Source organism: Homo sapiens, chromosome 3, assembly GCF_000001405.40.
Source record: "Homo sapiens chromosome 3, GRCh38.p14 Primary Assembly".
NCBI classification, from domain to species: Eukaryota; Metazoa; Chordata; class Mammalia; order Primates; family Hominidae; genus Homo; species Homo sapiens.
In genome coordinates, this window is record NC_000003.12 from 71,571,356 (window position 1) to 71,588,836 (window position 17,481).

At 42.4% G+C, this 17,481-nt stretch overlaps 1 protein-coding gene and 1 long non-coding RNA gene across 10 annotated transcripts in view, besides 2 other annotated features; one reads left to right on the forward strand and one right to left on the reverse strand.

Annotated features, from left to right (window-relative positions):
* FOXP1 (forkhead box P1) overlaps positions 1-12,623 on the reverse strand; it is a 629,271-nt gene extending 616,648 nt beyond the window's left edge. For 6 of the 9 annotated variants that reach the window (NR_146143.3, NR_146142.3, NM_001349340.3 and 3 more), the window contains exons 1-2: positions 12,216-12,373; positions 10,194-10,342 (exon numbers count right to left, since the gene is read on the reverse strand). The gene's annotated coding sequence lies outside the window, so the exon portion shown is untranslated. Of the gene's footprint in view, positions 1-10,193; positions 10,343-12,215; positions 12,374-12,554 lie in introns of those variants that run through there. The other 3 variants (NM_001244810.2, NM_032682.6, NM_001012505.2) reach the window with 1 other exon arrangement.
* Positions 12,246-12,485: a silencer, noted in NCBI's record as "silent region_14520". NCBI's record gives its function as "represses an Ori minimal core promoter by ATAC-STARR-seq in GM12878 lymphoblastoid cells {active_cell/tissue: GM12878}" and the evidence as "EXISTENCE:reporter gene assay evidence [ECO:0000049][PMID:35858748]".
* Positions 12,563-12,857: an enhancer, noted in NCBI's record as "tiled region #11865; HepG2 Activating non-DNase unmatched - State 1:Tss". NCBI's record gives its function as "activates a minimal TATA promoter and a strong SV40 promoter by Sharpr-MPRA in HepG2 cells {active_cell/tissue: HepG2}" and the evidence as "EXISTENCE:reporter gene assay evidence [ECO:0000049][PMID:27701403]".
* Positions 13,588-16,054, forward strand: FOXP1-DT (FOXP1 divergent transcript). The gene has a single exon (NR_182289.1). It is a non-coding gene; the product is annotated as an FOXP1 divergent transcript (long non-coding RNA).

Below are 17,481 nucleotides of genomic sequence, written 5' to 3' on the forward strand. Positions count from 1 at the left end.
AGACTAGTCATTTAAAAAGAGCATTATCCAAACATTGCCCCTTTGTTATCATTTTCCCCATTCTTCAGGGAAACACTATCTACCTTTATACTCATTTTGTTTAACATCTCTAGTCATTTATGCTATTTACTGAGTATCTGATATTCTTAATAAAATGTCAGTACAAATAAGCAAGTTGTCTAGGAGGAAAAAAAATTAAGTTTTTCCAATCTTCCCTGGCTGGTCAAGGTAAACATTTCTAGATGGCCCAAGTCAGTTAGCCAGGCTGACAAAAATGCCTTTTCTCTTTCCTCTTAAATTACAAAAGATGATCATTTTACTCAGCAATGAGCCTGACTAAAATGAAACTCTGTACATCAGAATTAAATATGTTCTATCCACTCGAAATGAACAGTGTATTATTTATCACTAATACTTAATGACAAAAAAACTGATAACTTTCCCCGATTATACCACTGATTTCATCTAGTCTCGCATCATCGATTCTTTTGGTCATTAGCATAATCACAGAGCATCAACTCTGGCTTATGCAGCAAGTTTGATAACAGAGATGAAAGTAGACACACACTATTTTAAAAACATGTTCCGATTTTCATCTAAGTATATCTTTATTTATATGGCTTTCTTACCATAAAGATGCCAGTCCTTTAAAATATGCAGAAATCACTTTCTACACTGAAGAACAAGGTGCTATATCATAACAAGGATACAGAAGTATAAAGCGCCTGTTAATTAAACATGGCTTTTTAACTCGCTACCCTGCATATGTAACTGCTAAGTTCCAAGCCAAGTCTTTAAATAAGAAAGAGAAAATGGCTAGGCTCCTTCAAATGAATGCTTTGCCTGTTTTTTCCCTTAATGTAAGAGATCAGCCACTTGATAGATTATTTTTTTTAATCAAATTCCCTGATAAATGGTTGAGGTTTTAAAGTTTTTTCCCCCAAAACACAGACAAATGAACAAATTATGAAGTTCCAGTCAGGACTGATGGTTTCTTATGAATCTGAAATTTTCAATGTACAGAGTGCTACTGGGTTTTAGGCTCAAATTTAAAGAACTTGTCTTGAATTAATATCCAGTATTTCAAAAGGTTCACATGGAAAAATCAATAAGCTATAGCTACATGTATCCACATGGATGAATTTTACTGTTGTTTATTTTTTAAAAAAGCAAGTTACTAAAAAACATATATAGTAGGATGCTATCAGAACAAACCTTGAACGTGCAAAACAAAATCCTGTATTTTGAGGAATCCTGTACATGCATACATATTAAAAATATGAAGAACTACACAAGATGAAAACCACCCAGCTGCGAACAGTGGTAAAGTAACCTCTAGGAAAGAAGGACAGAGGTAAGATGAGGATGGGATATTCCAGGAGCCTCTCCTACCTGAACCAGCAGCGTCTTCTCTCTTAAGCCGGGCTACAGGTACATGGGTGCTCACTGATTTACTCTTTGTTCCTTTTTTGTGCCTTACATATTTCACAATGAAAATGGAAACATATAAGCATACAGTTTTAAAATAAATAGCTTTGTAAATATCAGCCTGATTTCTTTTCTTAAAAAGGTAAGTTGAGTTGTTCTCAACTCACAGAACAAAATGCTTGAGACCAAGGCATCACACTCTATTCAGTAATTCGGACACTGGTTACAAATACTGAAAAACCCAGCAATCCAATATAAAATCTATTCATTTTCAAAAGTTCTTAGGATTACCTTATATTTAAAGAATTTTTAACCTCAGGAGTCTGCTGCAGGAAAGTCACTTCTAACAAAGAGATACTCTGTATTTAGTAAATGTGACTGTCCTGCTTCTTAAGCAAAACAAAAGCAAACACAGAAATGAGATTTCTCTCTAAGTATCTTTTTGAGTTGACATAAATACACACACAAGGAAAAATATGCAAGAAGCATACTTTGTGTGTGATTTCAGGACAAAAAGGTATCAGAAAAGGTGAACTTTCGCCAGGTGGAGAGTCCCTCCGTCCCCACCCCCACCCCATCCTCATCCCAGAATACTTAAACCTTTTGCTGCAGTTGCCATAAGGATAGCCAGACAAAAGGGAGAAGCACCCCCAGTCAGCAGCAAGGAGGATAACTTGCTTCTACAAGTATAAGAATTTGTTGTAAGCTTACCAAAGTTACGGCTGCGCGTTTACTGTCAACATGCATCACACTGCAACAAAAGCCATTATTTAGAAAATAAGATGAACACATTTAAGCAGCTGAACCCTTCTTAAACCCAGAGAAGGCATGCAAAACAACAGCAGGTCTGCAACAACATGCCTGATGGAGCCCATAAAAGAAAACTGGGGACTGAACGATTTTCTATTCTAATAGACCATTTTCTCCAAAATTATTTAAAGTTGCTTATGGACATAGATGTTATCTGAAGATGCCCCACCCCTCCTTCCCAAGGCTCAATCAACTAGCTTCTTTCCAAATAATTAAATGGGGCAAACTTTCTATTAGAAAATATCTACCATACATCACTAAAAAAAGGTCTGTCATTGATTCCCTAATGAAATATCAGTTAATTACTTAACCTTTCTTAATGAAATGATTAACATTTCAACAAACAAGGCGGAATGACTTCGCATCAAGCTGTAGATTACCAGTGACAGTGGTAACTATGTGTCCTCTACCATTGCGCCGTCTATTCTTTCAATCAGCTCCATGTTTCATCTTTTATAGAAATTCTTTATGCAGTAGTAGAGACACTCTACTTTTAAAATTTGGCCCATAAGAGTTTTTTTTAAGTGCCTCAGGGTCAGAACAGAAATTTTAAAAGTTTTTATTAGACGAATATCCCCAATGCTACCTAAACCTACAGAAAAGCAAACTGTGAAGTTCTAAACGTAAAAACAATTGCCAACTTTTTGGCAGCTATTAAAATAAAGCCACACCTAAAGCCAAAATGGAAATTAAAAATTAGGTGTGGGCATTATGGACACATTATTACCGGGTAACTTCAAAAGCCACATTATTAATACAGATGAAAAAATGTCTCAACAACTTTTATTTAAATAACTCTTTTGATCTTAGTGGTTAGATCTTTAGTTGAAGCCCTGAATATTTAAATAAGCCTCCTTAACATTTTATCTTCCTTTATTTCATAATCTTGTAGGATGCCTTCTTCTTAGGATTCTGGTTTCTTTATTTGTGTGGCATCGTTGGCTAGGCTATTTCCATCAATATTCGTGCATGCCCCATCACATACGATAGAGAATTTCCCAAGATGCTTGGGAAAATCAAAATACTTCTGCCAGCAGGGTTAATCCAAAGAGCAAACAGTTACAATTTTAAAATTAAGATGGAATACTCAGAAAAAAAAATTCTAGAGAGTCATCTGACACTAATTGGTAGCTACAGCATGACAACACCCATTGGGAAACATGGATGCAGGCAAGACAAAATTCAAAAGGAAATTATCTGATATTGACATTTGGTGAAAACCACCGATGTTCCAGGTTGTTCCTATCACGTTATTGAACTGTGAGGCTCTTGTTCTGCCTCTGTTTCTCTAAGTCTCCAAGGTTTCTTTTTGTGCCCTCCTGAAAAAGGAGCTCCGTTTTCTTCTCTTAGGTTTCACAATGGCCAACCAATTCAATTAAACTCTTAAGAAGGGTTGCAGGCTTTCCTCCAACTCTGATAATTGACAGGTCCAGTTTTCCCACTTTGGTGGGCATCAGGACCATGTGGGATGCGATTTAAAAACACAGATGCTGGCCCCACCCCAGATACGGCACATCCAGGAGTCGTGCAACTGTGTCTGTGTTGGGAACAACAGCTCTGCTGTGATTCCAATACTCGTGCTTGGTTAAAAACCACCGTTTTTCATTCGTAATAAAAATCCAAATACATTAAAAACAACACAGGATGGGCCTCAAGGTAAAATCAAAGAAATCATCAGTAAAATCCAAGTGAAGATAGAGATTTCAGTTCCACACATCTGAAAGAATAAATCACTTGATTCACAGGTCTCTAGCATGCATCAGAATTATCAAGGGAAGTTTGTTATAAATGTACGTTACCATGTCAATCAGCAAAAATTCTGACTCAAGGATCTGTATTTTAATAACCTACACACACACACATACACACACACACACACAGATACAGAGGTAGGTGAGCGAGGACCTCACTTTGAACCAGGCTGAATTAGGACCAACTGCAACCTCCCTTCACTTCAGACATGAGCATTCACTTCCATCTCTGTGCTCACCCCCAGGAGGGGAAGCCACCAGTGCCACTGGTCATCAGGAGGTAGGCACCAGGGCAAAAGAAACTCAAGCAAAACTCACATCACACCCTCCCCCAACAAAAGCTGCGGTCACTGTCCTGAGAGCACCAAGAATATCTTTTAAAAATGTGAGTAATAACAAAGCCCTGTATCATTGGATCCCTAAGCTCAAAGAACATATGTTAAAATATTACCCCTAATTCAAAAGCAGGGAACCTGGAGCAGAGAAAGTCACATTATGACTCAATTGCACAGCTGGGAGGGAGAAAGGACACCTCGGAAATTCAGTTTGATGCTAGAAATATTCTTCAGTGTCCTAGTAAACAAAGTGAATCACAAAATTAGCTAAAATCAGAGCATCTGGTAAAATGTGGATGTCCACCTGACTTACAAGTAATAAATAAATATATGTCCAAACATAAAACTCAGAGAAAATGTTTGTCCTAAGCAAATCTATTCTATTGAACATAAACAAGGCCCAATAATCCCACATTCAGATCCATTTTTCCCTCAGTAAATTGTCCTATAACATGCTAGCCTCTGATATCTTCAAACTGTTGAAATCAAACAGAATGACATGGGCTTTCTATTCAATGATCCCATTTCAGCTATTTATCTGAATTAGCAGCAGTTTGAGGAAATACACTCATCACAACATGATTCTGAGTATAGAGAAGTAAATAGTAAACAGAACACTGGAACACAACTGTGTATGTATTCATATTCCTTTTTAAAAAAAAAACTATTTTATTAAAAATACAATTTGGAAGGAAAGTGCAATTAGCTTTGCACAGGCACTGCTGAGATGTTCCCGAACACAGCAGACATATGTAAATATTTCGTGATATCAGTTCCATTTGAGTAGACCTGTCAAGATATTTACAGGGCTTGACAGTACTTCTGTCTTTAATTAAATTTTTGCCCAGATACTTTAATATAATTTAAATAGATTATTAGTTGTCAGAATCGAATATAAATTTTGTTTACGATTTAGTTACTTTAAGTACTCAGACTGAAGGAACTAATTTAACCCTACAACTGAGCAGCTTTAAGCATCAAGGCCAAACCACTAGAAAGCTCCCACTGCCCTTTGCACTCTACCAATAACCTTAAATTATTACAACTGAATTGTAAATTTCATGGCACTAAACTGAGCCCCCCTCCCCTCCTTTTGAAATAAAACAGCTTGGGGAGGGTCATGAGGAAACACCCATTTACACCTGTTCAGGTACTAGGTAGGTTCTCCCTTTCAGGCACTCGTTCTCACAGCGGCTGGCTAGATAGGAAACATTTTTTTCTCACTCTAAGTCCCATAAAATAACTACCGAACAAACACCTGTTGTGTACAAGGCAGGGCATGTATTAAAGACTGGCATCAGGGCATTGCAAAAAGAAAAACAAGCCTTGCAGAGACATCCACAAGCCAATCTGGTCAATAGATTTCACGACTGGGTAAAACAACAGTGCGTGCGAAGAACACAGCTTCTGGCACAACCTTCTTGTGAATGGCAGCTGACTTCTAAACAAGGATTGAAAAATGCCTTAGCACAAACTGACTGTAATTAATAAGAATAATTTATTAAAGAAACAAAGAACACTGTCTAATTGTCTTTCCTGACTGCCATGCACTTTCCCCCATTGTACTTCCTCTTTGCAGAATACCAGCCTCGTAGCCCTAACTGTAAGAACATTATCTATGGGATGCAAAACCAAAACACTTCTAGAAATCAAATATTCCTTACAACATTTATTTTTAGGTTAGCGACACAAGCCAAATCTGCTTAATTTCCATTAAGCACATGGTCACATGCTCATTGAAATAAACTACAAACGTCCCAGGAAAAAAAAAAAAGGAAAAAAACTATCATGCAGAAGATACCCCAAATTTCGCCAGGTTTGCCCGTTTCAGGAACTTGCCTCATCTCAAGGCCTGCTGGCATTCCAGCTTTTGGAGCCTTTATCCTTAATTCATCCAAGTACCGGAGAAGAGAAATATGTTGAAAAATCAGTTTAAGATGGTTCCTTGGATAGCATATGTATAGCAAAGTGGCCTGCAGAGTAGAGTAACAAATGACAAGAAAGATCATTAAAAAAATGCATGGGCCCAAGTGCAAACCTACTTGGCTTGCTGGCTTGTCTCACAAACTCAATGTTTGATCACCTGGTGGGACTAACTACCATCAACTTAAAAAAAAAAAATCCCCTGCAAATAGTAAAAGTATACATTGGCTCAGGTATAAAGTTCACCTGTCTATTCAGCAGATGCCTTTCTTGAGGTTATTTTCTTTAGAAAACAAACCCCTACCTGCTTGAGAGGTTTATATACTCTAGATTCAAAAAAACACATTTAAAAAGAAAAAAAGAAGGCCAATATTGCTGGTATAGCAAAAATGGCATTTACTATGACTGAAATCTATAAAAGAAGTGTGACATCTGACAGGATAAGGAAGAAAGGAAAAGCCCTTAGCAAAAAGAAAAAAAAAATTAAAAACAAAAATACCACCTGTGTAAATCTAGCCATGCTCTGGAAACCCTTTCTCGGTCGTGGAGAAGAAACAGCTCATGCTGAATGCCTTGAAGTTGCAATTAAATTGTAGTAATTTAAGATTATCGGGAGAGCAAAGGGCAGTAGGAGCTCTTCAGAGGGTTTCCCTCCCCACTTAATGCTCTTCAGTCACGGGTTAAATGAGTTTCTTTAATGTAAGTACCTTAAAGTAACAGAATCATAAACAAAATTTATACTATGTTCTGACAGCCTGCAATCTACTTCGGTTTTATTAACGTATACCTAAAATTATTTTTAAAGGACAAAATTCTTGCTATACCCTGTAAATATTCTTGGCATTCCCACTGAAATGTGATAGGTACTGTAACACCTAACCTTGTCTAAATATACATACTTTTTGAGATGTGGAATCTTACAAGATAGTGTTTCAAAACTGAGTTTGAGTCATAAGTAAAACATGAAAATCAAATAAATATGCACAATAAGATTGGCTGCAAAGAGGAAGCTGGGTTCAAAAGAAGTTGTCACATCTGCTATATTCCTTCTCTTTCTTAATTTTGGCACTGGACCCCCTGCAATATAAATATATTTGAAAAATATCACAATTCTTCTGTTAATTTAAACAACTGCTGAAAACAGACATACCCTTCAACAGAGCCTAAGATGCAAATTTACAAGGCCAGGGGTATAGTCTTTAAAAAGGCAAAGAAAAACTCAGTAACAGAAAACCATGCCTAGGCTCAATATTAACTCAGTTAACTTTTGCTATTATAAGTATAAATGGTTTAACTAGAAAATATTTATAGCGTTTTCAAAACATTACATATTGCAGAAAATTGCCTAATAGCATCCATGTGTATGTTTAACCCACATTGCTTAATTATACAATAAAGGTATATCTAGTAAAAACTACAGACTTTGAAACATGTTGTGCACCATGGTTATGAAACTCTGGCTTACAAAAAATATATAAACTGCTTACTATGTGACCGACACTTGTTAATTAAAAATATAATCCTTAAATGACAATTATTTTTATTCTTCTGTATGTGTTTACTTATCCTGTTTCCTACTTTGTTCTACTTAATTTAAAATAACATTTAATTTGGGGATAGTTTATCCCAGAAAAAAAAAAGTGTTACACAGTTTATACTCCACGATTTAAATATAAACACAAAATCTTAGACATCTCCAGCAATATAAACCCCTTATCTGAGACAGTTAATTTGAATAGTTGATGTTTCTTTCATTATACTTTGATAAACCTGTGAAAACAAAATGCTACAGTAATTACTGTTACTACTCCCTTTAAAAATGTAAAGTAGTTAAATTTTCCTAGACAACAAGCAAGGACAAGTTACAGAGAACTTGAATAAAAGTAGCAACGTGGTCATGTTGAATGTCAATCTAAAAAAAGAGGTTGTCTAATCTGGAGACTGCTCTCTCTCGCCTTTTTAAATTCCAAGAGTGGGCTGACACAAAACTTCATCACCAGAGATTTTTTTTTTCTTTTTTTTCTTTTTTCTTTTTTTTTTTTTTTTTGAGCTTCACATCAGATTTAAACTCTCACATACAAAACCTTGGCTTCCCTGACAAGGCAGATCTTCTAAACTCAATGTGAGAAAACGTTATCTAACTCTAGTGTAGGAGTCTAATGTTGGTAAAAAGAATTCCATTGCACAGTTCTTGGTAGCAAGACAGTCTCTGGACGACTTAATATTCCTTTAATACATTTTTGGGTAGCATTCTCCTCATAAAGAAGGATACATTAAAAAAAATAACTTGTTTCGCGACTCGGCATCCATAAGGAACTCAAATGCTGCCCAGAGAGGGGCTGAGTATTTCCTTCCAAGTGAGCCTTCGCTTGCACAACAAAGATTAGCATCTGCAATGGTCCATTTCTGCATAAGTGAACATATAGCCTTGCTGCTTGATCGAATAGTCCAGGGTTCTCCGTGTAGCAGCTCCTGACAACCACCCAGCAGCAGTTCTGTTTGATCTCTCCTGCTTCCTTAATTTGGGTTGTCAAGGTTCAGCAGTTGGAGGCTGTTTACTTTACTTTTCCAAAAAAAAAAAAAAAGTGATTTTTTTTTTCTCCCTCTCTCTCATACAATGACTAATCCAAAGTCTAAGGGGGGTGGGGGATGCAGCCAGTGGCAAGATGTTAAACCTTTTTTTTTCCCTTTGCAGTGAGATTTTAGCTGACACCTTTTGAATGGTAACTAGTTGAGTTCCTTTTTTATATTTTTCTTGCTCTTTAATTGTGAGACGTTTCAAATAGAAAGACAGAGGGGGGAAAAAAACAGTCCAAATTTCTGAAACTGTGAGCTGAGTTTTCTTTTCCTGGACCCAAAGGGATGGGTATTTCCACTTTGAGAATCAAAACTCCAGTGGAATTCTAAAAAAGATTTGATACATTTCTCTCTGGAACAGAAAAATAGCAGGAACTCCTCTTTCTCAATTATGTAGGCTATCCCTGGGTAGAAAACACCTGAAGTCTTACTATTTCTTTAAAAATTCTAGTTTACACATCTCCCTCCAAATTGATTCTTGCTGTGGAAAACGGGGGTGGGGGAAAGGGGATGGAATGGAAAAATTTTGCAGCGATTCTTCAATATATTTTCAGTAGCAGAAAAATTCCTTTAAATATCCTTGAGGTCTTCTCAACTCAGCTATTGTCCAAGCCCTAAACCCTTAAGTCTACGTACAACCAATGGTGAAGTGTAGACGGTTTGAATGTACAGATGCCTTTCAAAGGGAATCCAGAATGCTCCTCCGGCATTCCTGTTTAAAGAGCAGTGACAAAAAAGAAAATGCTAACTTGGAAAATACCTGTGAGCAGACATGAGCGCAATTCCAGCCCCTCAGAAGTGGACTGCATAAGGTCAAATGCAACCAAATGAAATGTTTATATTAATTTCATTATTCTGCCCAAGCCTCACAGATGAGGGCTTGTGGGGTGGGGAGGTAGGGAAGAGGAAGAAATAAGTTTCATTTTGGGTCTTCTGGTAGAGCAAAAAGAAAATGAATTAAGACGAAAGCATAGGATGAGCCCAGACTAAATCAATACACTTTGTAATCAGCCCAGCAAGGGTATTTGGATACAATGACTTGGAAATAATTAATAGTTATAAGAGGGGAGTGGGGTGAGAAGGGGGGCGAGGATGTCACCATATTTTATCGGAGCACTTTACACTCCACGCTAAACTTTGATCTCCAGATTTTCAGATTTAGGAAAGAAAGAGGGGAAAAGGGTGGAGGGGAGGAAGTCCAGTATTTCGAAGCACCTACCGGCCTGAGGATGGGCACATTCCTCGCTCCCGGTGCCTTATCGCTAGGCTCGCGCCACCCCGGCTGGCTCTTTGGGGACGGAGAACCCCTAGTGCCGCCTGGGGCTCTCCGGTGTCCCTGGACCCCGCGCCCGCGGCCGCCTCGACTTACCCGCGGAGTCCGGGGAGGGAGTAGGAGCGCCGCCTTCACGCCCGCGGAGGAGGCGCCGGCAGCACCATGGTCCCCGGCGCCGCTGCCGCTGCCCCCGGCCCGCTCGCTCGCTCGCCGCGCGCTCTCTTCCTCTTACAAACTTTCGGGTTCTGCAGTCGACAAGAAACCGGGGCGACCCTCAGCAAGTCTTCCCCGTGCAGGCTGGGGGGAACTGAAGGGGACGGGACGGGTGAGTAGGCCGAGGGGCCAGGACAGAGAGGGCAGCGGGCTCCGAGGACCCGCGAGTGCGCGTGGAGGGAAGAGAGGATGCGGCTCAGGGAATCCCTGCAAGGATCCAGAGACCGGGAAATCGGCCCGAGCCAAAGTCTCAGCACCTTCCCCAGGATCTCACAAAGTTGCAACAACAAAAAGGAGGGGGGAGGAATAGGGAGAAGGGGGTGGGATGGGGATACGATCACGGGCGCAAGGTTTGGAGTTACAACTGTTTATTTAGTCCTTATTCTCACAGGGGGCGGGAGCTGCGCGGGAATGGGGGGCTGCAGGCAGCGATTTCGAAGCAAACACATGGGAGGGGGGCATGCGACTTTGTTTCCGGGAGCGGAGCTCCCCAGAGCCCGTGTGTGTCACTGCCAGTCTCCCGGGACCAAGGCGGAGCTCACAACAGGTGGGGAGGGGGGCTCGTCGAGGGCCAAAAAGAAGAAGGAATCTAAGTTTCCGAGCGCGACGTTGTCTGAAAAGGAGGGAGGCGGGAGGCGGGGGCGAGGGAAGGCGGAGGCAGCAAATGACCGCGACCCCGCGGCAACTGGCAAACTCCTCGGCTCCCGGCGCCGCCGCCACCGCCGTGGTCCCCACTCGAAGCGCACGCCGCCTCGGCTCGCTGGCTCCAGGGAGTCGTCTCGGCGGGACAGGAATAGAGCGCAGGGAGCTCGGGAGGAAGGCTGCGCGCAAGCGAGGGACGGAGAGCCATCGGCCGCCAGGACAGGGCCGGAGGGACGAGGCGACACGCGCGCGACGCAGGACAAATCGGAGCTTGGGAAATCTCCCCGTCCCCCAAGCTTCAGAGGGGGGTAAAATCAGAAAATGTGTGTGATGGTGGGAGAGAGATCCGGGCGCGGCGACTCCTCGCAGCGCATCCGGCTCCCGCACCCACCCGTGGATCTGGCCACGGCTGTTGCGGACTCGTCTCGGGAAAGCGGAGGCCGAGCGCGCGTAGGGGTGCGTGTCTGGCTGGGGGTGCGCAGGTGCGTGTTTGAATTTTCCGGGCTCCGAGGGGGTGGCGGGAGAGCTTCCTCGCCGCTGACTCTCGGGGTAACGCGCGCGTGGCAGCGGGGAAGTTCCCCAGTGCGGGGCCCAGGGCCAGGCACCACAGTCAGTTTGCTGGGGCCCGCGGGGCAGCTCAAGGGCACCGAGGGGGCACACACCCGCGGGGAAAGAAGGGGAAAAGTTTGCTCCAAGTCTAAACTTTGGGCCTAGGAGGCGCCCGGCGCGCGCCCCCTCCCGCCGCGGCCAGGACCCGGGACCCCGCACCGGCCCCGCGCCCGGGCGGCCACCGGACGCCAACGCCGGACATCGAAAGTTGCGCCAGGCGGCCTGGGCTTATTGATTTCTCTCCCCTAGGCGATCGTGGAGAGCGCAGAGAGAGGCGTGAAGGGGCCTACGGGCAGGCGATCTCGCCTCCTCACAGTCGCCACCGCCCCCGCCCCCATTTGACTTATGCAAATAAACCCAAAGGGTGCGGGCGCCGCCGGAGCTCCCTCCACCCGCGCGCCGGCCCGCAGCCCCCACCCATCCCAGAGCTGGGCCTCGACCCGGGGGGGAGAGGAAGAGAGGGGAGGGCTGGGGGAGATGCACGTGGAGCCTGGAGGTGGAAAGTAGTTGTTTTTTTTTTTCCATTTTTTTTCTCTTTTTCTTTCTTTCTTTTTTTTTTTTTGTGCTGGTTGTTGTTGTTGTTTAAAGTGGCGGAAACAAGACAGGAGGCGGCTTGGGAAAAAGTGGAGCAGAAATGGAAAAATACAAACTCACCCGCTGCAAATGGTCTCTCGGTGCAAACTAAGGTGTTTTCGGGCCTTTCCCCGCGCGCGCCCACTCCCGCCCGCGCGCGCACCCCGCGCACACACTCACTCGCGCACACACGCGCGCACACACGCACTCCCGGGCGAGGGCCGGGCCGCCGCGAGTACAGCGTGCAACCGCCACACAATAAATAACAATAGATTCCTCCGCTCCGGACTAGCTTCCCGGAGCCCAGCCAGCGCCGGTGGCGGCGGCGGCGGCGGCAGAGGCGCGGGCAGCACCGGCCCGGGGGCGCACCCCGGCCCGACCCTCTACCTCCCGCAGGGGTCCCCTCTCCGCTTCACGCACCCCGCTGGGCACTCCAGCGGCCCCCCGAGCGGGAGCGGCTCCCTCTTTGCCGTTCGCCGGGGCGCTGGCGCCCACCCCCCTCCTCCCTCCCCCCTCCCCCCCGACATCCCGGAACAAATAAATAAATAAGGCGCGCGAGAGAGGCCAACACGTCGCGGAGGGAGATGTTGTTATTTTTTGCTGTTGTGCGTCCCTGACGTCACATCCACCTGCTGGGTAAACAACCGGGCTCCCAGAAAAAAAAAATCGCAATTGCCAAAGAATGGGGGGGGGGGTTGGGGGGAGGGATCCAGGGAGGGGGAAGTGAGGGGCGTCCAGGCAGGATTGGAAAGAGGAGAGGGAGGCAGAGCCCCGCGGACCAGAGAGAGGAAGGGAACGCCAGAGCAGTCCCTGGCAACAGAGGGATCTGGCAGGAAAGACCTGGAAAATAAGGGGCAGGGGGGCGGAGGGGGAGATTCCTCAGGAGATGGGAAATGGGGGGCCCATTCAGACAGCGGAAAAAACGAGAAGGGAGAGTGTTAACTAGGGACGAAGATGGGAATGCGATGGCTATTTGCTTGGATTCTGAGCTAAAAATATGAAAGGGAGGGGAGAGGACAGGCTAGAATGTGAGTTTCCTCCAGTTAAAAGTGAAAGTGTTTTGCCATCAGTGACAGTTGAAGGAGAGCGGGGTGGGAGGTGGTGTTTTCAACCCCCTTTCTCCCTCTCTCCCGTCCTCCCTCGGTCTCTCCTCTTTCTTTCTGCACTTTGTCCAATGAAAGAAGGCGAGTTCGGGAGGTGAAAGTTCAGCAGAAGGACAAACCCCTGTTTGCAAGGAAACAGAAACCCCGCCAGCCAGCGAGGGGTTTTCTCCCCTGTTTCTCGGAATCAGGAGAGTGTGAATGTGGGACGAGCTTCTGCCCCCTTGTCAGAGCCACTGCAGGAATGTGCAATCGAGTCCACTTTGGGGGAAGGTGGCTGCATCAGGAACTGTGTTCTTGCCACGACTCCTCTTAGGAAAACGCCTGGGGGCTAGCATGTCAGTCCGTTGTTTAACACAAATTACCTGCTCTCCCAGTGATCAGTCACGTGCAAAAAGCTTTGTCCAATTCTTTGAAAAGGTGAGATTTTTTTTTTTCTTTTTGCGGTTTTTGAAGTTTGGTTGAATTTAGAAATTCGAAGGAATAAACTAAGAGCCTGAATTAAATGTTTTGAAATATACATACATAAAACAAAAGACACTAGTATTTCTTTCACTTTTATCAATACGCATAGAGAAGGAAGCAGAGTATGTGTTTCCAAAACGTGACTTGGAAAGCTGTAAGACCTCTATGTCTTGTTGTTGTTGTTGTTGTTGTTGTTAACAGAAGTAAATTTTTTCAGACCCACCACCACAGAAGTGGCCAGACTCCCAAACCAGCATTTCCAGCTACTGGCTGGCTGGTGTACACCAGGCCAATTCTTTATGAGAATATATTAAAAGTCACCCCTGTGGATTCCTACAAAGTACTTCCCCTTGCGGGGAGGGGAGAGGCTTACTGTCCCTTTGGTCTTGAGACCAGCACAGTTGTAGATAATATCCTGAAAAGGTTATTATTAAATTCTTTCGCGTAATGCCCCTTTACAAATATTGTTAAACATTAATTTACAGAAGAACTTAAATCTTAATTTCAAGGGTGGCATAAGACTATCGCTTTGAAATTGTATCTTTCGCAAGTTAAAAAAAAAAAATAACAAAGCCATTCGCTGATGCTACAGAATAAAAGAAAGGGAGGCTGCTAAGGTAATTTCAGCCTGGTAGAATTCACATTGCATGCATGCTGCATAAAGTTCCATGCTATCCAGATAAGACTATTCACTGAATCTTTTAGACTAGAATCTAGACCAATAAAATGCATTTTAGTTTGTATGGAATGTCCTAGCTTCCTAGAGGCTAGGGTTCGACGTCTTGTTTGTCAAGACATAAAGGGATTAATGACATACCCACTGTGTGCTAGACCACAGAGTGGGCACAGAGGGATGAAAAAATAAAAATTCCTGCCCTTGAGGAGCTCACAGTCTAAGCTGTCAATAATAACATCTAACATTTATTAAATACTATGATCTAGGCACTGAACTAAAAGCTTTATGTCAACTCAGTTAATACTGCCAACAACTCTTTGACATCACTGGAAATTCCATATGCTGAATTCACACGGAATTAAGTGGAAATCTACAAAGTAGCCAGTCTACTGGTTCTGTAGTGGTCAACCTATTAAAAATGGTTTTTAATTTCTAAAGTACTTTATGCCAAATATAACATGTTTATGGTATATGCCTGACTGTAGAATTATAACTCAGGGGAATAACGACTTATTTAAATGTAACAGATCTATTCATAGTCTGTAAAGAACAATTCATCCTCTGATCTTGTTTTTCAGATTAAGCAGTGTGTTTATTAAAAATTATTATCATCGCAATACTAAAAAGATCTTTAGATTGCTGCTAATCTGATTCTGCATTTTAACTGCCTTAAATTCTACATTCACTTGCAAGTGGGGGCCACAGTCAGGTTGGCAACAAGTTTTGCAGACAAAAGGAAATCCTGGTTGTAAATCCCATGATATATTGTACTCAATTTTGTATGATACTGTCTAATGTGCTGTGCTGCCTTATTAAAGAACTCGATGTCCATTTGGTTTACATTAGAGGGAAACTTAACTGCAGCTTAACATATTGTTCATTTTCAACACTGTCACGTTACATTCGTGGGGGGCAGATTTTAATTTCTTTATCAGTAATCAACTGGAAGTTTCTTTTTGTTAAATTAAAGCAAGAAAGGTTTTAAAATAAAGGGCATGGGGGTAGGACGCCACCTTTTGGTGATAAAACAAATAGAAATCCCTTCTGAAAACAGATGTTCCTGACATAATTTTATTTTTAATTACACCAAGGCAAAGGTGCTTGTCCCCATTTCGTTATATTTTAAGTAACAGGAGAAAAAAAAAACCAATGTAAATGCAAAATTAGCAAATTATAGTTAACTGCAGCCAAAATTTTCCCAAACGTATCAGAATATGTTAGTCCCCTGTCACATTACTGTTGATTGTATACACCAAACATGAGCTTCATTCACCAAATACCATGTCACTAAATATATGTACATTTGGGGAACAGAAACTGGAGTGGACATTTACCACCTGACGACGTACCTGAATGCTCTTGTAAGTTTTGAGTTGAACAAAAACTAAAACCACTTAATTTAGTGTTTCTTTAACCACAGTTACTGGTGTCCTGATTTTTGCCATATCTATATGACATAACAGTTCCCGAATAATTAATATACCATACTCATTGGAGGCCACTTATTATGGTAATTGTAGCAAACATTTTCATTTAAATCAACCTTCTTTTAATTTTTTTCTATTACTGCCTTAAATGGGAAATCAGTATCACCCACCATAAATTAAAAACAAGCACAGTAAAAACAAAGTCACTGATTTCTCTTTGAGGGTCAAAACAAAAATTAAAAATGATTTTTGAAAAAAGGAGGGAGAGTGGCAAATGTTGAGAAGGGTTAAGGACAAGAGTATCAATGGAAATTTTTGAATTTTTGTTTTTTCTCTCTCTTTTTTTCTGTTTTTTTTTTTTTTTTTTTTTTAACAACCAGAAGGATTTAAAGTGATCGGAAAGGAATACAGTTCTCAATGTGTGATTCAGTGTTATGCCATCCTAGTGCCAAGGTTCCTACACTTTAAAAAACATGGGCATAACTAAGAATATCGCATTACAGATGAGGAATCTAAGGCCCAGGGATTTCATTTGCCCTCCAAGGCAAAATAAATTTGGTTACTGGTTGGACAAGGATTAGAATCCAGGTGTCCTGACTTTGTGGGTTTCCATCTCACTCTTTCCACTAAAGTGACCAATCCTCAGACTTAAGTGGTTTGTCTAGCTTCTCAGAAACAGCTAACCTACAGACCCCTTTACAGATCTGGGAGAAACTGAGGCCACAGAGGGTCAAGAACAAGTTCAACCCCCTGCTCACCGTCCTTTCTCTCCACCCTCTCTCCATAGATGTGACAGACATCCAGGTGGGGGTCAACACAGCAAAGAAAGAAGGGAGGGTTGAGAAGAGAAAAGTGGATTCAGAGAGGGGAGGTTAGTAAGCGTGGGCAGACCATTCTCTAAATGAAAGCTTAAACTCAGTTGCCTTCCAAGAAGATAAAAATGGCTAATGAAAATCATGTGCTTCACAGTAAGTGGTAAGAGGAGCCCATCCTCTGTGTCCTCATGTCCCTATATGTCCACACCGGAAATCAGCAGGGGATCTCTTGTTTTAAAGTATACAATATTAACAGGCACACTCTGAGACAAAACCACATTTGATAATTTGAGTGGGTGGAAAAGCTAGTCAGGGAACGGGGAATGACCCTAGCTTAAAAAGTGTTTTCCCCCACAACAAAACTTAAGAGGCTCAGAGTTAAATCTAGAAACAATAGTGCTTTTTCTGTTTTTCTAACTGGAGAGTGAGACCTTAGTTACCAAGACTGCACTTGCTGCTTTTTTTTAAAGTATGCAGTTATATAAACATAAATAAATATGGCCTGCAAATATTTTTATGTTTTTCTAAATTGGTGATTGTGAAAAGAGGTTGTGCATGACTGTACTGTATGAACATGGGTCTCAGTGGACTGTAATCCTCATAAACTACAAGGTACGGTGAAGCATTTGGCCAAGTATCATCAATCCAAAAAGCTGTTCTAATGCCCTGAGCATTCCCAGTGCAACGTTGGTACCTTGGAAACATGTAAAAGGAGTATGGGTGGCTCAACCCCATCTGCTACAGGTACTAGAACAATCTACAGCCTTACTATGCAAAATGAGATGTGCTGACCTGCAGAGCACCACCTCCAGGTTATGTCAAAAATGCAGAATGTCAGGCCCTACCTCAGACCTAGTGAATCAA